The 17,845-nt window shown below is 36.3% G+C and overlaps 1 long non-coding RNA gene across 2 annotated transcripts in view, besides 1 other annotated feature; it reads left to right on the top strand.

Annotated features, from left to right (window-relative positions):
• LOC105377462 (uncharacterized) overlaps positions 1-17,845 on the top strand; it is a 360,687-nt gene that overhangs the window by 169,779 nt on the left and 173,063 nt on the right. The window lies entirely within an intron of this gene.
• Positions 371-563: a silencer, noted in NCBI's record as "fragment chr4:145312958-145313150 (GRCh37/hg19 assembly coordinates)". NCBI's record gives its function as "represses an EF-1alpha promoter that drives an FKBP-Casp9 reporter gene in an ReSE screen in HepG2 liver carcinoma cells {active_cell/tissue: HepG2}" and the evidence as "EXISTENCE:reporter gene assay evidence [ECO:0000049][PMID:32094911]".

The raw sequence follows: 17,845 nt of genomic DNA, 5'->3' as shown, positions 1-17,845 counted from the left end.
TCTGATCGTTCCTCTGGAAGTTTTGTCTCAGAGGAGTACCCAGCCATGTGAGGTGTCAGTCTGCCCCTACTGGGGGGTGCCTCCCAGTTAGGCTGCTTGGGGGTCAGGGGTCAGGGACCCACTTGTGGAGGCAGTCTGCCTGTTCTCAGATCTCCAGCTGCGTACTGGGAGAACCACTGCTCTCTTCAAAGCTGTCAGACAGGGACATTTAAGTCTGCAGAGGTTACTGCTGTCTTTTTGTTTGTCTGTGCCCTGCCCCCAGAGGTGGAGCCTACAGAGGCAGGCAGGCCTCCTTGAGCTGTGGTGGGCTCCACCCCGTTCGAGCTTCCCACCTGCTTTGTTTACCTAAGCAAGCCTGGCCAATGGCGGGCTCCCCTCCCCTAGCCTCGCTGCAGCCTTGCAGTTTGATCTCAGACTGCTGTGCTAGCAATCAGTGGGACTCCGTGGACGTAGGACCCTCCGAGCCAGGTGTGGGATATAATCTCCTGGTGCGCCGTTTTTTAAGCCCCTCGGAAAAGTGCAGTATTGGGGTGGGAGTGACCCGATTTTCCAGGTGCCGTCTGTCACCCCTTTCTTTGACTAGGAAAGGGAACTCCCTAATCCCTTGCGCTTCCCGAGTGAGGCAATGCCTCGCCCTGCTTCAGCTGGTGCACGGTGCACTGCACACACTGTCCTGTGCCCACAGTCTGGCACTCCCTAGTGAGATGAACCCAGTACCTCAGACAGAAATGCAGAAATCACCCATCATCTGTGTCGCTCACGCTGGGAGCTGTAGACTGGAGCTGTTCGTATTCGGCCATCTTGGCTCCAGCCCAGCTTTTTCTAGACAGAATGCAGTTATGCCTTGCTTTAAAAAAATTCAGCCTGATAATCTCTGCCTTTCATTTGGAGTGTTTAGACCATTTGCATTTAATGTTATTATCAATAGGGTTTAATTTAAATCTATAATCTTGCTATTTCTTTTTTATTCATGCAGCTATTCTTTATTTCTTTCTCATTTTCTGCCTTCTATTTGGGAATTACACATTTTTTAGTAATAACATCATTTTTATTCTTGGCTTCTGAGCTGTTTTTTTTTATTTTTGGTTTAATTTTTAAGTACTTGTTTTGGAGTTTAGAATATGCATTTTTAACTTCTCACATTTTACCTTCCAATAATATTATATCACTTAACATATAAGTAAGGTAACCACTTATATGTAAGATAAAATCCTTGAACAGTATACTTCCATTTCCTCTCATGAGCTTTGTTTTATGTTAGTCATACATTTTATTTTCCATGTTATAAACACCATAAATACTGCCATTATTTTTGTATTTGACATCAATTATAAACTAAAGAAATTTAGGAAACATTCAAAATTCTTTAACATTTGATCACACATTTATCATTTCTGTCTGTTTTCATTATTTGGTGTAGACCCAAATTTCCTCCAGTTATCATTTTCCTTTTACCTGAAATACTGCCTTCAACATTACTTATAGAGTAGGTCTGCTGGCAACAAAGTTTTATAGCTTTTGTTTGCCTAATTTTGCTTGCATTTTAGATTACTTGAAGAACGACAGGTTGGTTGGTTTGTTTTGTTCTTAAGCACTTTAAAGATCTTCTGGATTGCATAATTCAGATGTCTGTTGTTCCTTTTTAGATGATGTAGTTGTTTTCTCATTATTGCTTTTCTCTTTATCACTTGCTTCAAGTGATTTGATATGATGTGCATAGATGTAGCTTTATTTTTTATAAGTGCATATCTTCTGTATGGTTTATTGAGCTTTTTAGAACTGTGAGTTTATGGTATTTTAAAATTGTACTTAGAAATTCCTCAGCCACTCTTTATTCAAATAAATTTTCTTTTTTTCTCCTTTGCTCCATTTTCCAAGGTTACCATTACATGGATATTGAACTACCTGACATTGTCTCACAGATTACTGAGGCTCTGTTAATTTTACTTCAGTGTTTTAGTTTTTGCTTTAGTTTAAGTAGCTTCTATTGCTATGTGTTCAAGTTCACTGATTTTCTTCTAAATGTCTAATCTGCTATTAGTTCACTGCATTTACATTTTTATTTCAGATATTCTATTTTAAAGGTCTTTACTAACTCCCTTATCTCTATTATTTCTGAATCTGTTTATTATGACTGATTGTTCTGCTGAATGTGGGTCATATTTTTTGTTTTTTATTTTTATCCCTCACATGTTTAGAAGCTTTTTATTGTATTCTAAACATTTTCAATGTTGTATTGATAAGAATATGGATTTGTTGTCTTCTTTTAAAGAGGTTTGGATTTTGTTTTAGCAGTCATTTTATTTAGTTGCAGGTCATCTTAATCTTTTCAAGTAATGTTTTTAAACTTATTTAGGGATAATCTAAACTAGTTTAGGTTTCTTACCTAAGCATGCTATTTATGGTATGTCTACTGAATTTCTCATCTGTTAAAAAAAAAAAAGACTCTTCACTATTTCTATTTGTACGTGAATGTCTTCTGGTCTGGGAACTATTAACTTTACTTTCATTTGGAGTGTTTAGACCATTTACATTTAATGTAATTACTAAATGTAAGTCTTTGCTCATACTGACTGAGTTGTACACTCTGTATGTATGGCTTACTATTCAGCCAAAGCCTTCAAGGGGCCCCTAAGAAGAGTTCTTGATCCCTTCCATGGATTTCTCCCTCCTTTGCAATATTCTCCATCTCAAATTCCAGTTGCCTCAGGCTCCTTAAACTCCCATCTTTGTCTCTTCAAATCAGTGATACACCCACGCTCTCTTGAGATCTCTCTCTTTACAACATGATAAAAAGTGTCTCTACGAAGGGAGCCAGAAGCATAAGGCATGCCTTATCTGTTTTCTTTGTCTCAGGGTTACAGTACTATATCTCCTATATCTCCTCTTGTCTCAATGTCTGTGAACTATTATTTTTTATATTTATTCCAGTTTTCTAGCTGTATATGGCAGGGAGATAACTCCAGGCCTAATTACACTAACATAATCAGGGATTTATTTTAATAAGATTTTCAGTGAAACTTTTTAGGAATTTGGCAAATTTTTTCTTTGCATGTAGTAAAAACTATACAAAAAATTACAAATTAAAATATATTTCTGACACAATAATGCTCACAGTGAAATGATCCATATGGAGTTGACATATCATTTTAGAAAAGTTGCCAATCTCCGAAATTATGTATAGAATTCTTCTCTTCTGTTTTCGGACTTTCTTTGAATCTGTTACTTTGATGGTTGTGACATAATCCTATTGCTCTTGAGAAGATTATTTATTAGTGTACTAAATTACTCTACTAGATATGATAATCCTTTTGTAATATGGTTTTTTCCCTTCCCCAATTATGTCTATTCTGTCAAATTTAAATGTTCTCCTTTTATCATTTCTTATAACTTTATTTAACATTCTTGCCTCCTCCAATCTTTACACCTCTTCTTTGACTTATATGGCGTGACACTCTCCTGATGTTGTCTTTTGATCATTTCTCAGTATTTTTTGTGACCCTATTATCTTTTCAAACTTCAAATTTTTTACCTAGAGCTCAGTCCTAGGTGTTCTTTTCTCCTGTGTCTATGTTTGTTCCATAGGTGATCTCAGCCATTGCCATGCAAATGAATACCATTTATAAGCCTATGGTTCCCAAAGAAATATCCTAAGACCTCTCTTTTGAGTTTCAAATCCTTATATATAATTATTTTGGAAATCACCATTTGAATTGCTACATTTAAAAATAAATATGCCCCAAATTTCACCACTGTTATTACTCTACACTTCTGCTCTTCATCCAGTTGTTTCAACCCTACTTCCCAAGCCACAAACATAGGAATTATCCTTCACACTGCCTCTTTATTCTCATTGTCCTCAGCCATAAGTGAGTTCTGCTGATTTTACCTCCAAATCCTGTCTAGATTTTGTGTACTCCTCGCCATCCCTACTTCTACCCCTCTTCCTGTCTTATCTCACTTTCAACCCACCCAACACCTTTAACCTGTTCTCCAATCACTAATCATAGTTACCTATTTTTTAAAATATAAATTCAAGTAAAATGTACATATATTTTTAAAATACCAAATATAGACATAAATTATTACCTCACTTAAAAAACTTTAATAATTGCACTGAAGCTATAAAGTAACATTCATAACATGGTTTTTGCACTAAATTTTAACCACTTAGGACTATTTTCAATTCAGAAATTTTGCAAATGCTTTGCACTTTTCTTAATTTTTTTAATTTATATTTATCCTCCATGTTTCAGATTAAGTGAGACTTCCTGAGATACCATTTGTATTAGTTAGGGTTCTCCAGAGAAACAGAACCAAGAGGCTGTGTATGTCTATCTATATCTGCAGCTATATCTATAGCTATAGGCTATGATTTGAATGATGGTGTCCCCTCCAAAATTCATGTTCAAACTTAATCTCCAATGCAACTTAATCTCCAATGTATTAAGTTCAAACTTAATCTCCAATATATTAAAAGGTAGGGCCTTTTGGATGTAGACCATAAGGGCTCTGCCCTCATGGATGGGATTCATGCCTTATAAAAGGGCTAGAGGGGACTAGGTAGGTCATTTTTGGCCTTCTACCTTCCACCATGTGATGTCTCCTTTGAAAAATGCAGCATTTGTCTCCTTTGAAAAATGCAGCATTCAAGGTGCCATTTTGGAAGCAGAGACCAGGCCCTTCCAGCACCTTGACGTTGGACTTCCAGCCTCTAAAACTGTGAGAAGTAAACCTTTATTATTTACAAATTACCCAGTGTCAGGTATTTTGTTATAGCAGCATGAATGTACTAAGCCGTTACACACACACTCACATTTTAGGGAATTGGCTTGTGCAATTATGGAAGCTGACAAGTCTCAAGATCTGCAGTCAGCAAGCTGGAAACCCAGGAGAGTCAATAGTGTCATTCCAGTCAGAATGTTCTTAAGGTTGAGAAGACCTGGGAAAAGATGATATTTTCAGTTTGTGTCCAAAAGTGGGGGGATGGGGAGGTGGGAACACAAGGTCTCAGCTTGAAGGCAGATAAGCAGTAGGAGTTTCCAGTTACTTAGACTTTTGGCCTTCAGTTGATGGGATGATGCCCACCCCCATTAGGGAGGGCAATCAGCTTTATCTATTGAGTTATTCAGATGTTAATCTCATCCACAAGCACCCTCACAGACACACCAATGTTTGACCAAATATAGTCATGTACCACATAACTACATTTTGGTTAATGGTGGACTGCACATATGATGGCAGTGGTCCCGTAAGATTATAATGAAGCTGAAAAATTCCTATTGCCTAGTGACATTGTAGCTGCCATAACATCATAGCCCAACCTATTATTTTTTCTATGTTTAGATGTTTTAGATACAGAAATTATTACCATTATGCTACAAATGCCTACAGTATTCAGTACAGTAACATACTGTACAGGTTTGTAGCCTGGGACCAATAGTCTGTACAATGTAGCCTAGGTGTATAGTAGGTTATACCATATAGATTTGTGTATGTATGCTCTATGATTATTGAACAGGAATGAAATTACCTAATGATGCATTTCTCAGAACATATTCCTGTCATTAAGTGACACACGACAGTATCTGGGCACCCTGTGGCCCAGTCAAGTTGACACATAAAATTAACCACACTATATATGACCAACATATCTAAATAAGTCCTACTGTGTTGATAGGATTTTGCTGTGTCCCCACCCAAATCTCATCTTGAATTGTAGTTCCCATAATCCCCACGTGTCATGGAAGGAATCTGGTGGGAGGTAATTGAATCATGGGGGCAGTTTCCCCCATGCTATTCTCATGATAGTGAGTACGTTCTCATGGGATCTGATGGTTTTATAAGGGATGTTCCCCTTCACTTGGTTGTCATTCTTCTTCCTGCTACCATGGGAAGAAGGAGATGTTTACATCCCCTTCTGCCACAATTGTAAGTTTCCTGAGGCCTCCCAAGCCATGCTGAACTGAGTCAATTAAACCTCTTCCTTTATAAATTACCTAGTTTCAGGTAATTTGTACCACAGAGAAGGGGTGCTGCTGTAAAGATACCCCAATATGTGGAAGTGACTTTGGAATTGGGTAACAGGCAGAGGTTTGAATAGGTAGGGGGGCCCAAAAGACAGAAAGATGTGGGAAAGCTTGGAAATTCCTAGAGACTTGTTGAATGCCTTTGACAAAAATGCTGATAGTTATATGTATAATGAAGTTCAGGCTGAGGTGGTCACAGATGGAGATGAGGAACTTGTTGGGAACTGGAATAAAGGTGATTCTTGCTATGCTTTAGTAAAGAGACTGATGGCATTTTGCCCCTGCCCTAGAGATCTGTGGACTTTTGAGTTTGAGAGACATGATTTAGAGTATCTGACAGAAGAAATTTCTAAGTGGCAAAGTGTTCAAGTGGAAGAGCAGAGGATAAAAGTTTGGAAAGTTTGCAGCCTGATGATGCTATAGAAAAGAAAAACCCATTTTTTAGGAAAGAATTCAAGCCAGCTGCAGAAATTTGCATAAGTAACAAGGTGTCAAATGCTAATTGCCAAGACAATGAGGAAAATGCTTTCAGGGATGTCAGAAACCTTTGCAGCAGCCCCTCCCATCACAGTCCAGAGGCCTAGAGGGGATAAATGGTTTCATGGGCCAGGCCCAGGGTCCCTCTGCTATGTGCAGCCTCAGGACTTGATGCTCTATGTTCTAGTAGTTCCAGCCATGGCCAAAAGGGGCCAACATACAGCTCAGGCTGTTGCTTTAGAGGGTGCAAGCCCTAAACCTTGGCAGCTTCCGTGTGGTGTTGGACTTATGAGTGCGTAGAAGACAAGAATTGAGGTTTGGGAATCTCTGCCTAGATTTCAGAGGATGTATGGAAATGCCTGGATGTCCAGGCAGAAGTCTGCTGATGGGGCAGAGCCCTCATGGAGAACCTCTGCTAGGGAAGTGTGGAAGGGAAATGTGGGATTGGAGCCCCCAAACAGAGTCCCCACTGGGGCACTGCCTAGTGGAGCTGTGAGAAGAGGGCCACCATCCTCCACACCCCAGAATGGTAGATCCACTGACAGCTTGCATCATGAACCTGGAAAAGCTGCAGACACTCAATGCTAGCCCATAAAAGCAGCTGGGTGGGGGCTGTATCCTGGAAAGCCACAGGAGTGGAGCTGCCCAAGGTCATGGAAGCCCACCTCTTGCATCAGCCTGACCTGGATTAAGACATGGAGTCAAAGGAGATCTTTTGGAACTTTAAGGGTTAATGACTGCCCTATTGAATTTCAGACTTGCATGAGGCCTGTGTCCCCTTTGTTTTGTCCAATTTCTCCCATTTGGAATAGGCATATTTCCCAATGCCTGTACACCCCCCCACCACACACCCCCGCTGCCATTGTATCTAGGAAGTAACTAATTTGCTTTTGATTTTGCAGGCACTTAGGTGGAAGTGACTTGTTTTGTCTCAGATGAAACCTTGGACTTTGGCTTTTGGGTTAATGCTGGAGTGAGTTGAGACTTTGGAGGACTGTTGGAAAGGCATGATTGTGTTTTGAAATGTGAGAACATGAGATTTGGGAGGGGCCAGGGGTGGAAGTATATGGTTTGTCTGTGCCCCCACCCAAATCTCATTTTGAATTGTAGTTCCTATAATCCTCACATGGAGGATTTGAATTGTGGGGGTGGTTTCCCCCATGCTATTCTTGTAATAGTGAGGAAGTTCTCATGAGATCTGATGGTTTTATAACGGACTACCCCCTTCACTCAGTTCTCATTCTTCTCCTTTCTGCTGCCATGTGAAGAAGGAAAGATTTGCTTCCCCTTCTGCCATTATTGTAAGTTTCCTGGGGCTTCCCCAGCCATGCTGAACTGTGAATCAATTATACCTCTTTCCTTTATAAATTACCCAGCCTTGAGTATGTCTTCATAGCAGTGTGAGAATGAACTAATACATGTGTCATGTTCATTTTATTTCACATATCATCATTTTGTTTGTTTGTTTATATGTTCATTTACTTATGTGTTTGTTTAATGTATGTCTATAAGCTGTATGTACCATGAGCCTATGTCGTATAAGCTCTATGAGGGCAAAGCTTCTGATTGTTTTGTTAATCACCACACATTTAATGCCTGACATAGCACTTAATTATCTTTAAAATTAAAATTCTAGATATTGTTTCAATCATTTAATGTAGATGCTCACATTTAATGTAAATGTATCATATAATTATGCTATCTGCTTTCATATGTTACACTAGAATATTAACCTCTAGTTGGTATTTTTGATAAACTCTATGCCATATCTGAATTCATGGAGTTGAGTTTTGTTTTTTCAATTTAATTACTTGTTCTTTTAAGTTCTATAGTTGCAGTAAAGTTTAAAAGCCTTAAATCAAGTCTATAAATGCATTATAAACACTATAAAATTTGTATAAGATATTATTGCCATTGGTATGATACTTTAAGAGAATAAAGAAGATTTTTATGTGGAGTGTTCAATATAGCTGGAGAACATGGTACACAGTTAGAATTTTTGGATGCTCAGGAGAAGGGCATCAAAGGAACTCTAGGACATTATTATTCTTGTAAGGTTATAAGGATACAATATGGTTCCATTGCTACCAACACATTGGCCCTAACTGGGGGCTGCAACTTTTGCTCTGCCCCATCCAGTCAGCACTGTGGGAATGGCAATTGGTGCTCTTGACTGCTGACTGCACATCTCCATCATATGGACATGCTGTGGTCAACAGAGCCAACCAGAGTTTAAAGGGCTGATCCATGCAGTGTCAGTAGCTCTTCAAAGGGACTAAATCAGGAAGTTTGTATGATGCACATATATGTAAAACTTCTTGAAAAAGTAATTTTTGCTTAGAAAAATTCAAGAGAAAAATGTGGTCTAAATGATCTTGTTTTATTCATTTCAAAGGTACTTATGGACCTTATCTTATGTCATCCTGGTGAATGTGAGTTGATCATAAGCATAGTCAATTTTTTACAAAAATGTTTTGATCTTTCAAACTTGATATTGATAACTGAAACTGAACAGAGAAACATTAGCATCTGGTTTTGATGAACGTGGTTTGCTTCTACTTTAAAGAAAAAGCATTCAGGAAAGGACTGGAAATTCCTGCTCAAAATATCAAAGTCCAATACAATTTTTCAATACCTGATCTTGTATGTTACAAGTGACTTTATTCTACCAGTTCCATATATTTTTTAGATTATAGCATTATGCTTCATTTTAAAATATATTTAGATTTTTGTTCTAGGGTTTTATAGGGTATTTGGGGTATACTTGTTTATTTTTTTGCCACATATACAAAAATGATTGCTCAGAGAAAAATCCAATACTCTCATTTTTCAACTGAGGTGAATTGCTTTTCTAACCACAGGAAGACACCTGCTACAAAAATCAAAATGATTTCTACTATTTCTTATTAAACTGTCAGAAAGACATCATACTCCAGCACAACTCCAGAAGATTTGTAACATCTTCTGCTGACTATAATTTTCTAATGACATTAACCATGTCTATTCTTTTATTGTATATTCCAGAGTTTACCTAGCCCAGGGCCTTGCAAATTGCGAAGCCTCAAATCAAATCAGAAAAATTAACACGTGATCCTTGAAATACCTGAATTTTAGAAATTTAATTACAAACATATTAAATAATTATTTTAATAAAATAATTGCTTTAATTTCCAAGGGTGTAGATTCAATTCTGTGTTCCTCCAAGTCTTTGATTTTCTTCCTTTCCTCTGTTATCCTGCTTATAATAAACACTATTGGAGAAGAAAAGGGGGAACGAGAATAAAAGTAAATGTTTAATCTTTTATGTATTACTTCTTCTGAAATAGTCTGACAAAAAGCTGTTTTCAGAAAGCAATTAAAGGCAGTGTCTAAAATGAGGCTTGGGGATTATCAATAGACATCATTTATCAGTGTTGTCCCTGTCCTACATCAAAAGAGATAATCAAGAGAGCATTTACCAGTGACTGTGTGTGTTGGCTGTGCTAAGAAAATTACTGTATTCAGCCTGAAGGAAAAGTAAAATCATTTGTACAAGCAAATATCAACCTGCTTTAGGATTGTAGAATTTATCTTTCTATTTTTCTAATGAAAGCCATGGGATAATTTAAATCTATGTACAATATTGTGGTTCCAGTGTTGAGTGCTATAATAAAATGACCTTTTCTCTGTACTTCCACTAATTGGCTTTTAAGAAGCTTTGATGTGGTTGAAAAGGTCAAAGATCAATGAGTGGCTTGTTAGTCCAAATCATTTATTTTATCAGGAAAAAAATACAAGCTATTGAAAAAAATAGAATTTTAAAAGCAATACACAGTATACTTGTCTTTGGCAAGCTCTACAATTTTTCTTTGGCTCCTCCAAGCATGAGATGGTCTAATCAGGGGATTATCAAGCAGACTGAAGAAATATAACAAAGTTTTGTGCTGCAGTAAATATTTGTAAAGCAAATCTTTGGAAAAATCCATGATATATTTTACCATTACTAATTTAAGAGATTCAAGATATTTCTTAAATTTTATGGTATCAAATTGCCCAAAGAAGTATGAGTCACACCATCACTACATAATTACTATTGTATATTTTAAGAAACAGATCAAATTTTGTGCTGAGAGAAAAGGTGACAAGAGAGTAACATAGCAGATTATTACATAAAATTTTAATCTGTTTGTAATTTTTAAAATATTCAATTTAAAATAAAATATTTAAACGTAAAAATATATAGATATAAAATGTTGATCCTTTGAGGAAATAACCAATATGATCTGACCTCTTAGGACACCATGCTTAAATTTTTATAAAAATGAAAGACATAACTTATGTTATTGCCAAGAACCAACTCATATGTAAACAACATATGTAAACAACTGATTAAACTCACTGAAATCTGTGCTCATTATGTTTAAAAAACAGAGATAGGGAGTGTTCTGTGTGCATAGTAGACTGTGCTTAAATTAAGCAATTATTACGGAGTTTCAGGACATGGAGGGGGAGACTAATGACCGATTAGGAATATTTTTTGGCCTAAAGCAAGACATTGGGTCATTAACCCTTAATGATCATTTATCCAAAAGAAATGTTCTAGGCCAAGGCTCTTAATTCTCTAAAAGAACACACAGAGACCAAAAGATACATTTGACCGCAGGTGTTTTAATGGTCACGGCAAACTAAGGGGCTTTTGCCTGGTCATGTTGGGTTTAATATCATAAATTGTTGCACAAAAAGAATAGGCAAAAGTGCCATGCTGTCACTACCATGGCAAAACCCCAGTTAGGTAAAATTTTATTTTGTTTCCTATTTATTTATTCCATTTATTTATTTAGTGTGTTCACTTGTTTATTCAACTCAATAAATATAGTTGAGTACCTATGCAATGACCAAGATGTTGGATGCCGGGAAGAAATGGTGTTCTCAAGGTATTTACAGTGTAGCTTGGGAGAGACATGTAAAATGGAATTATATACAGTGTTTTAATGGAGGATTTAAAATCTGCTTTGGCAGCAAATAGGAGGGCAGGTAACCCAGTGTTGGGAGAAATTAGCAGTTAGGGAGGACATGAAGTCTAACACTAAACTAACGTGATAATTAAGAGTTAACCATGTAAATTTATTTCTAGTTAGGGGAAAAACTACTACAGAGAGAAAAAGAGAGAGAGAGAAAAGGCTAAAAGAGGCCTCAAGTGAGAAATATTTAACCTATTGGAATTTAGCTTTATTATCAAGCTATTTTAATTCTTTAGATTTGTTCTGTAGTGTGATGAACAAATCATTTATATTCCAAAGTTGTAAAATACCCACTTAGCTATGAACTTTAAATAGAGCTAACAATTCTATGCCATTTAATCTAAAATATCTTTGGAGAAAATCCTAGCAGACCTTGACATTTTGCATTGTGGCCAGCCTTCCCCAAACTTGTTGCCTCTGGCCTCCACTTGGGAAATCTTGTCTTTTTAAAGATCATAGACAGACTAGGTAACCTTTGCTTAATAAGTGCAAGAGTCGTTAATTTAGCAAAAGTTGTGGGCATTTTATTTTAGTTTACATTGGGAATTCTGATTTAGGCTTAGCATTTCATTAAGACAGTTCTTTTCCAACTGATTAGCTTTTCTTCCTACAGTAGAATTTGCCTTTTATGTCCTTTATAACTAGTTCCTGTAGGAGACAGTGGGAAAAGAAATCAGAGATGCAAAGGGTAGTACAATGTGGAAAATATCACCAAAGTTTAGAGTAGATTAAATTTTCAGAGGCCTGGGACCACTGAGGCTACACTTCTAGGAAAGTAATTACCACTGTGAGGCAGATAGAGTTGCCACTTGCAATTGCCTGAATGGAGAAATGGAGAACTGTGTAAAGAGCTGAAGTCTCTGCTATACTCTTCTTAAAATTTTAGACCAATGAAAACTTGCTTCAATCTATCTTTTCTATTTCCTCCTTAAGTAAAGATTTTTAAAAAATACGTGAGTAACTGCACAAGAAAATGTTCAATTAATACACAGGCCACAGAAGTGTATTTGATTGTGATATTAATTATGTTCCTACATCCATACATCTAAAGAAAAGCTAACAATGGGTTTACAGGTAATTTGATATCACTTTAGAAATACTTCTCAATATATCCATGTTTTTCCACAATAAAAATGTATTATGTTTATAGGCAAAAGAATAATGAATTAATTAATTAACACACTTCTCTCTTGAGTTGTTTCCTTATAAAATTCTTACTACACTGCTAATCTTTTTCTGTGGGATATTGATTCACATTCTCATAATGAATGCCAAAAAATCTTTTAATAAATTCTGGCAGTCTCATAAGTTTTCATTTGGAAAAAGTAATTCTATTGCTTAAAACAGTTATTCTGAATTTCTGTAATTCCTCTGGTAACAGGTTAGTCTAGAATACATATTTTGTGGCATTTCTTTTCTTCTTTGAATAGAAACCTTTGTCAAATGAAGTCTTATGATGAACCTCAATGTATACAACAGCTAATGGTACAGTTACGTTGTCCCAGGGACAGAATTTTCTCTCCTGGCCTCTCCCTCACCTTCAGTTCAGCCCCACCTCCTACTTAAGCTCTCTGAAACATTGGTTGAAAGCCTCTGATTTTGAATAAGCTATAATTTGTTCATGAATTTTTTGAGTTTAGAAACTTTAATCTGAATGAATTATTCAATCTAAAGAGTTTGTTTTTAATTTCAAAACTTGAATATTCTCAAAATTTTTGTTTTGTTTGCTCTTTCTGGTTCCCTGCAAAAAAATTTTGTTCAACAAATCTTCTGCAATAGGAAAGGATTGCAATGGAAAGTAACAGACTTATTTACCATTAGCTGAGATTCAAAGAATACTTTTCCAAACACTTCCAGAGAGTATTACATGTGTTTAGAGCTCTTGTGTATGCCTCTGGATTCAAATTCCTAAAACATGTGAGCTCCACCAAAGAACCAAGAATAAGAATTTAGTTCAGTCAGTTTCCCTCTTAACTACCTTTGCCTTTGCTTCTATCTTGTCTGCCCTTCCAGAATTGGGTAAGAAGAGATATTAATGAGTCACTTCTGAAAGAGGGTGGGCAATCACACACTTGAAGGATATCATGTGATCTTACCTTTCAGAATCCAAAGGAAGAGAATTTGACTTAAGATGATATTGCTCTCAGGCACACTGGGTAAAGACAGAATGTCTAAGTGTTTGAGTTGTTTTCAGCAAGATGCTGACCAGAGCTCTGGGGCTTTTGAGGGGCAAGAAATGATCTTTATCAACCTCTGTAGCTCTAGGACAGAGAATACTAAAAGTGTTTTTTGAATAAATGAATAGATAAATGTGCACAAAGTAAATAGTATGGTGCATTGATCTTTTAATAAGGTCATATTGGATTTTAAATCTCTGTCTCTATCTCTGTCTATCATATATAACTTGCTTTTTTGACCAAGGTCAAGGAATCCACAGCTCCAGTATGATTTGAAAATAACAATCTCCTGAATTTGAGGTGGCAAGTCATTTTTGCCTATGCCTAAAATGAATATATATATATTATAAATTACCAAAAAATCTAAGACTTTCCGGCACTCTGTTGCAATCACTTAGACTTAATGAATGAAAATAGTTACAGAACTTAAATCATAATGAGACCTTTACACAAAATGATGATTTCTAGAAATAGAAATAGTTAGGATGAAGGTTTATATTACATATTTCTGGAATTTAAAAAGAAACACTGTCTGTGGAGAAAACCAAGAGACTTCTATTGAATTAAAAACAAATTGAACAAAAGTAAAACATTTAGAAACCCGTGCCACAAGTAGATTGAGACCCTGCCTGTAGAAAACAATGCTACATAATTTGCCTGACATCTTTTGCAGTAAATAGTTGTTTAATAGGGAAGTAATTAATATCAATGATTTTTAAAAATATTCTTAGCACTTCAGAAAGAGCTAACTGATTGACTGAATAACCATTAAATTTGTGCCTAAGTCGGAATCAGAACACATTTACACAAATGCAGTGTCATTCATTTTGTTTACTGCTGCATCATGTTACATCAGGTAGCATAAGGATTAATGCTTATCCCAAAGTACCTTTATTCCCATAAAGGAAATAACCAATGGGGGAAAAATCTAGCTGCCAGAATAACAGGAAAAATACAAAGGAGGCTTGAATCTTTAAGATGGAATATTGTAGCATCTGTTAGCCAATACAGAATGCGTGAGAACTTCTGTGAAAGTATGTGTTGAGAATATAAATAGTGGAACACTGTAATTCATTACAATTACATTGTATAGAATAAAAATGAAAAAAATGTTTCATGACTGAAAGCTTGGAATGTTCCTATATCAATTTTAATAAGGAGAAATTCCCTTTCAAGTCCTACCCATAAATCAGAAAAAGGAATTTACACCAGCCTGGCCATGTACAGTCTAAAATATCATACACAGACCTCCTTTCTATGCCTGCCCAAAGAGCAAGCAGGCAGCATGCAAATACCAAAGCAATGCAGTTTGCTAGTGTGCAAATAATCGACAAGCTTAGATTTACACTGAATCATAAACTCCGACACCAGTAGACTGTCACTCCAAACAATATAAATACATTTATAACCCTATTGTCAGAAATTAGAACTTGAGGAACCTTAAGTGCTTTAGTACAGTTGCTGGCCAGATCTGATAAGTTAGCCAGTATAACAAATCAAAGAAAGAAAATCCTTCAGTAGGCTGTAATGACTTTGTGCTCTAATTCTGCAGGCACTGGAAGGTCAAAGGCATACCTCCCTCTACAGCCATATATGGCCTGAGGGCCATTGGGTACTTTTTTTTTTTAAGATGAATGTTCTGGTATGAGCATGCTCCTAGAATCCAGTGACGTTCTTACTCAGGGTGGTCTGTAAATATTCTAAATCTTTGCTTACTATATAAAATTACAAGAAAGTGTTATCTTGCATCACTCACAAGCACTAGATTTCTTAAGCTATGCAAACCCTACTACGCAAATCATTCCTTTTTTTAATAAAAATAGGATGGTTTGCTTTATTTTTCTTTTTAATTTCTCTGCTTTTAGCTGTGAACAGTCTTCTTGCTGTATGTATTCTGGTTTGTATAAAAAGCATAAAATGTTACGCTTGTAAGTCAAGTTTATCACATAGCTTGTGCTTTAAAATATATGGAAAGATCAGTTTTCTACATGCAATTTTGTCTGTCTTTCACTGACTGTTTCTTTGGTTTTCTCTTTGGCTTCATGCTGTGTTTGCCTCACTCTGAAAAGGAGATTTCTCTCACTTTACCTACTTTCTGATCTTTCATCTAAACCACCCTGAGTGCATGAGCAGAATCCCAGATGAAGATGGAAAAGATGAAAAGACATTTAAAATACATCCCAGTTTATCCGTAAAAAAAAGGGACAGTATAACTTGGGGGAGAAGTTGATCCATTTTAAAGTAAAAGTATGTATAAGTAAAAACTGAAATTTTGTCAGAACTATAGTATTGATTATGTTAGGTTTTTTTCCATGTTTGTGGTTTAATTAATTGTGTTATTTTTAACTTGATGATGAGATGCAAACCACAATGTTGAATTAATATTGGCACATGTCCCAGCTGTATCATATTGTAAATGTATGTGGCCATCTACGAGAATTCCCTCTCAAATTAATATTATCTGGGGACAAAATGTTGAGAACCAGACCAATAGTTATAAACTCTTTCAACTTCTAAAGAATTAAAATGATTTTCCTGCTTATGGCTTTAATTTTGGAAAGGCAAAATTGTACGTTTTGCTCTAACACGTCTAATGTTGTTTTGCCAAATCAGACATCTTTCTTCATGGGATAAGATTATAATGTCATTGCAAAGTAGTTCTCTTGAAACCTTCTAAAACAGATTATGTTCTTTAAAAACTTGATTCTTGACTTTGCATGTTTTAGCACTGCATTCCATTAAACCTGTGTTTGAAGTTACTAGGATTTGCTAAAATATTTGATAATGCCTAAGCAGATAAGAGATTATATGCTTTATGTATATAGTGGGAGGATTTGTTCCAGCTTGGATACAGGGTATTAATTGGCCACCTACAGTGAGCAGTGTTTAATATTTTGCCCGTACCCCCCTTGCCTCACTTCTTTCTTACTGCTTTTCAGGCAGAAGATCATGTAAGTATTCACTGAACTAAATTTGCTAACTTTCTGGAACACATTTAAACAATGTGTGCTACTTGTGTCATATTACATTAACATCACTTCTAATGACAAGTTGTATATATCTGTAATAAATAGCCCCTCAGGGATCAGATCAAGATTAAGGGAGGGAAAGTACACTGTTGCAGTTAAGTAATTTACAATATCTCAGTAAATGCTTGCAAAGAAATGTTTGCATCAGTGGAGCTGGTTAACAGCACTTGTGGACACATGATTGCAGAATGTTAAACTTACCAGTGGAAAGTTATAATCATTTGGGTCCAATTTTTAAAAAGTAACCTTTCAACTCTATAGTGTTTGATACTATGTTGTCCACCATATCATATAATGTTTATGACAAAGCATCACCAGTTTTAAACAGACGAGCATGGGCACAGGGAAATGGTGGAGGTTAAGGAGGAGGGAGATGGGCAGGAATCCTTTCAGCAGTGGTCATGAAGTTGAGAATACCCTATTTAAACTGAAAGACCTTCCCTGACATGTTTATTTCAAATCAAAGCATTTTTAACTGATCAGTATAACATACAGAAGAAAATATACAAATAATTTTGGGTAGAACACAGCCAAGTTGAGCAATTGGGTCTGATTATCCAGGACACACAGGGGGCTGTATTCTCACATCATGAAAAACTGCCTGGAAGACTGGTCCTTTCACTAATGTGCTATTAAAATAGCCCACAATGAGCCTTGCCAGACACAGGCTTAGGGACTGCTCAGATTCACCTGCAGACATGGACATTTAGTATCGCAGGATTTAAAATTTTATCCTTTCCCCTTCCAAATTTGCCCAGTGCTATTCCAGATCTGAATTTAAACATTGAGTCACCACTGGATAATTCCTATTAGAATGACATTCAGTGAATTTTGTACTGTGGTTTGAACAGTTTTCATTTACTTCTATGGCAAGTAGGGTAGTGATGTCCTGGGACCCAGAAAGCTTACCTATGTGTAATCTTTCAGGAAAGTTGGGAGGGAAGCGATTGTTGTCAGTCTACTTGGGACATTAGTCAATTTCTATAAAGAATTGAACAGAGGAAGCAAATAAAGAGCCTAAACAGCTTCCTGCCTTTGCTGGTTTTCTTTATTGCAAGTTTGTGCCCTCGAATTGAGTTTGAAGTGAACTGATATCAAATGCATCCCTACACAAAAACTCAAAAATTGAATTA

This window comes from Homo sapiens, chromosome 4, assembly GCF_000001405.40.
Source record: "Homo sapiens chromosome 4, GRCh38.p14 Primary Assembly".
Classification (NCBI taxonomy): Eukaryota; Metazoa; Chordata; class Mammalia; order Primates; family Hominidae; genus Homo; species Homo sapiens.
Note: the sequence above shows the minus strand (reverse complement) of the source record. Positions and strands in the feature narration are given on the sequence as shown.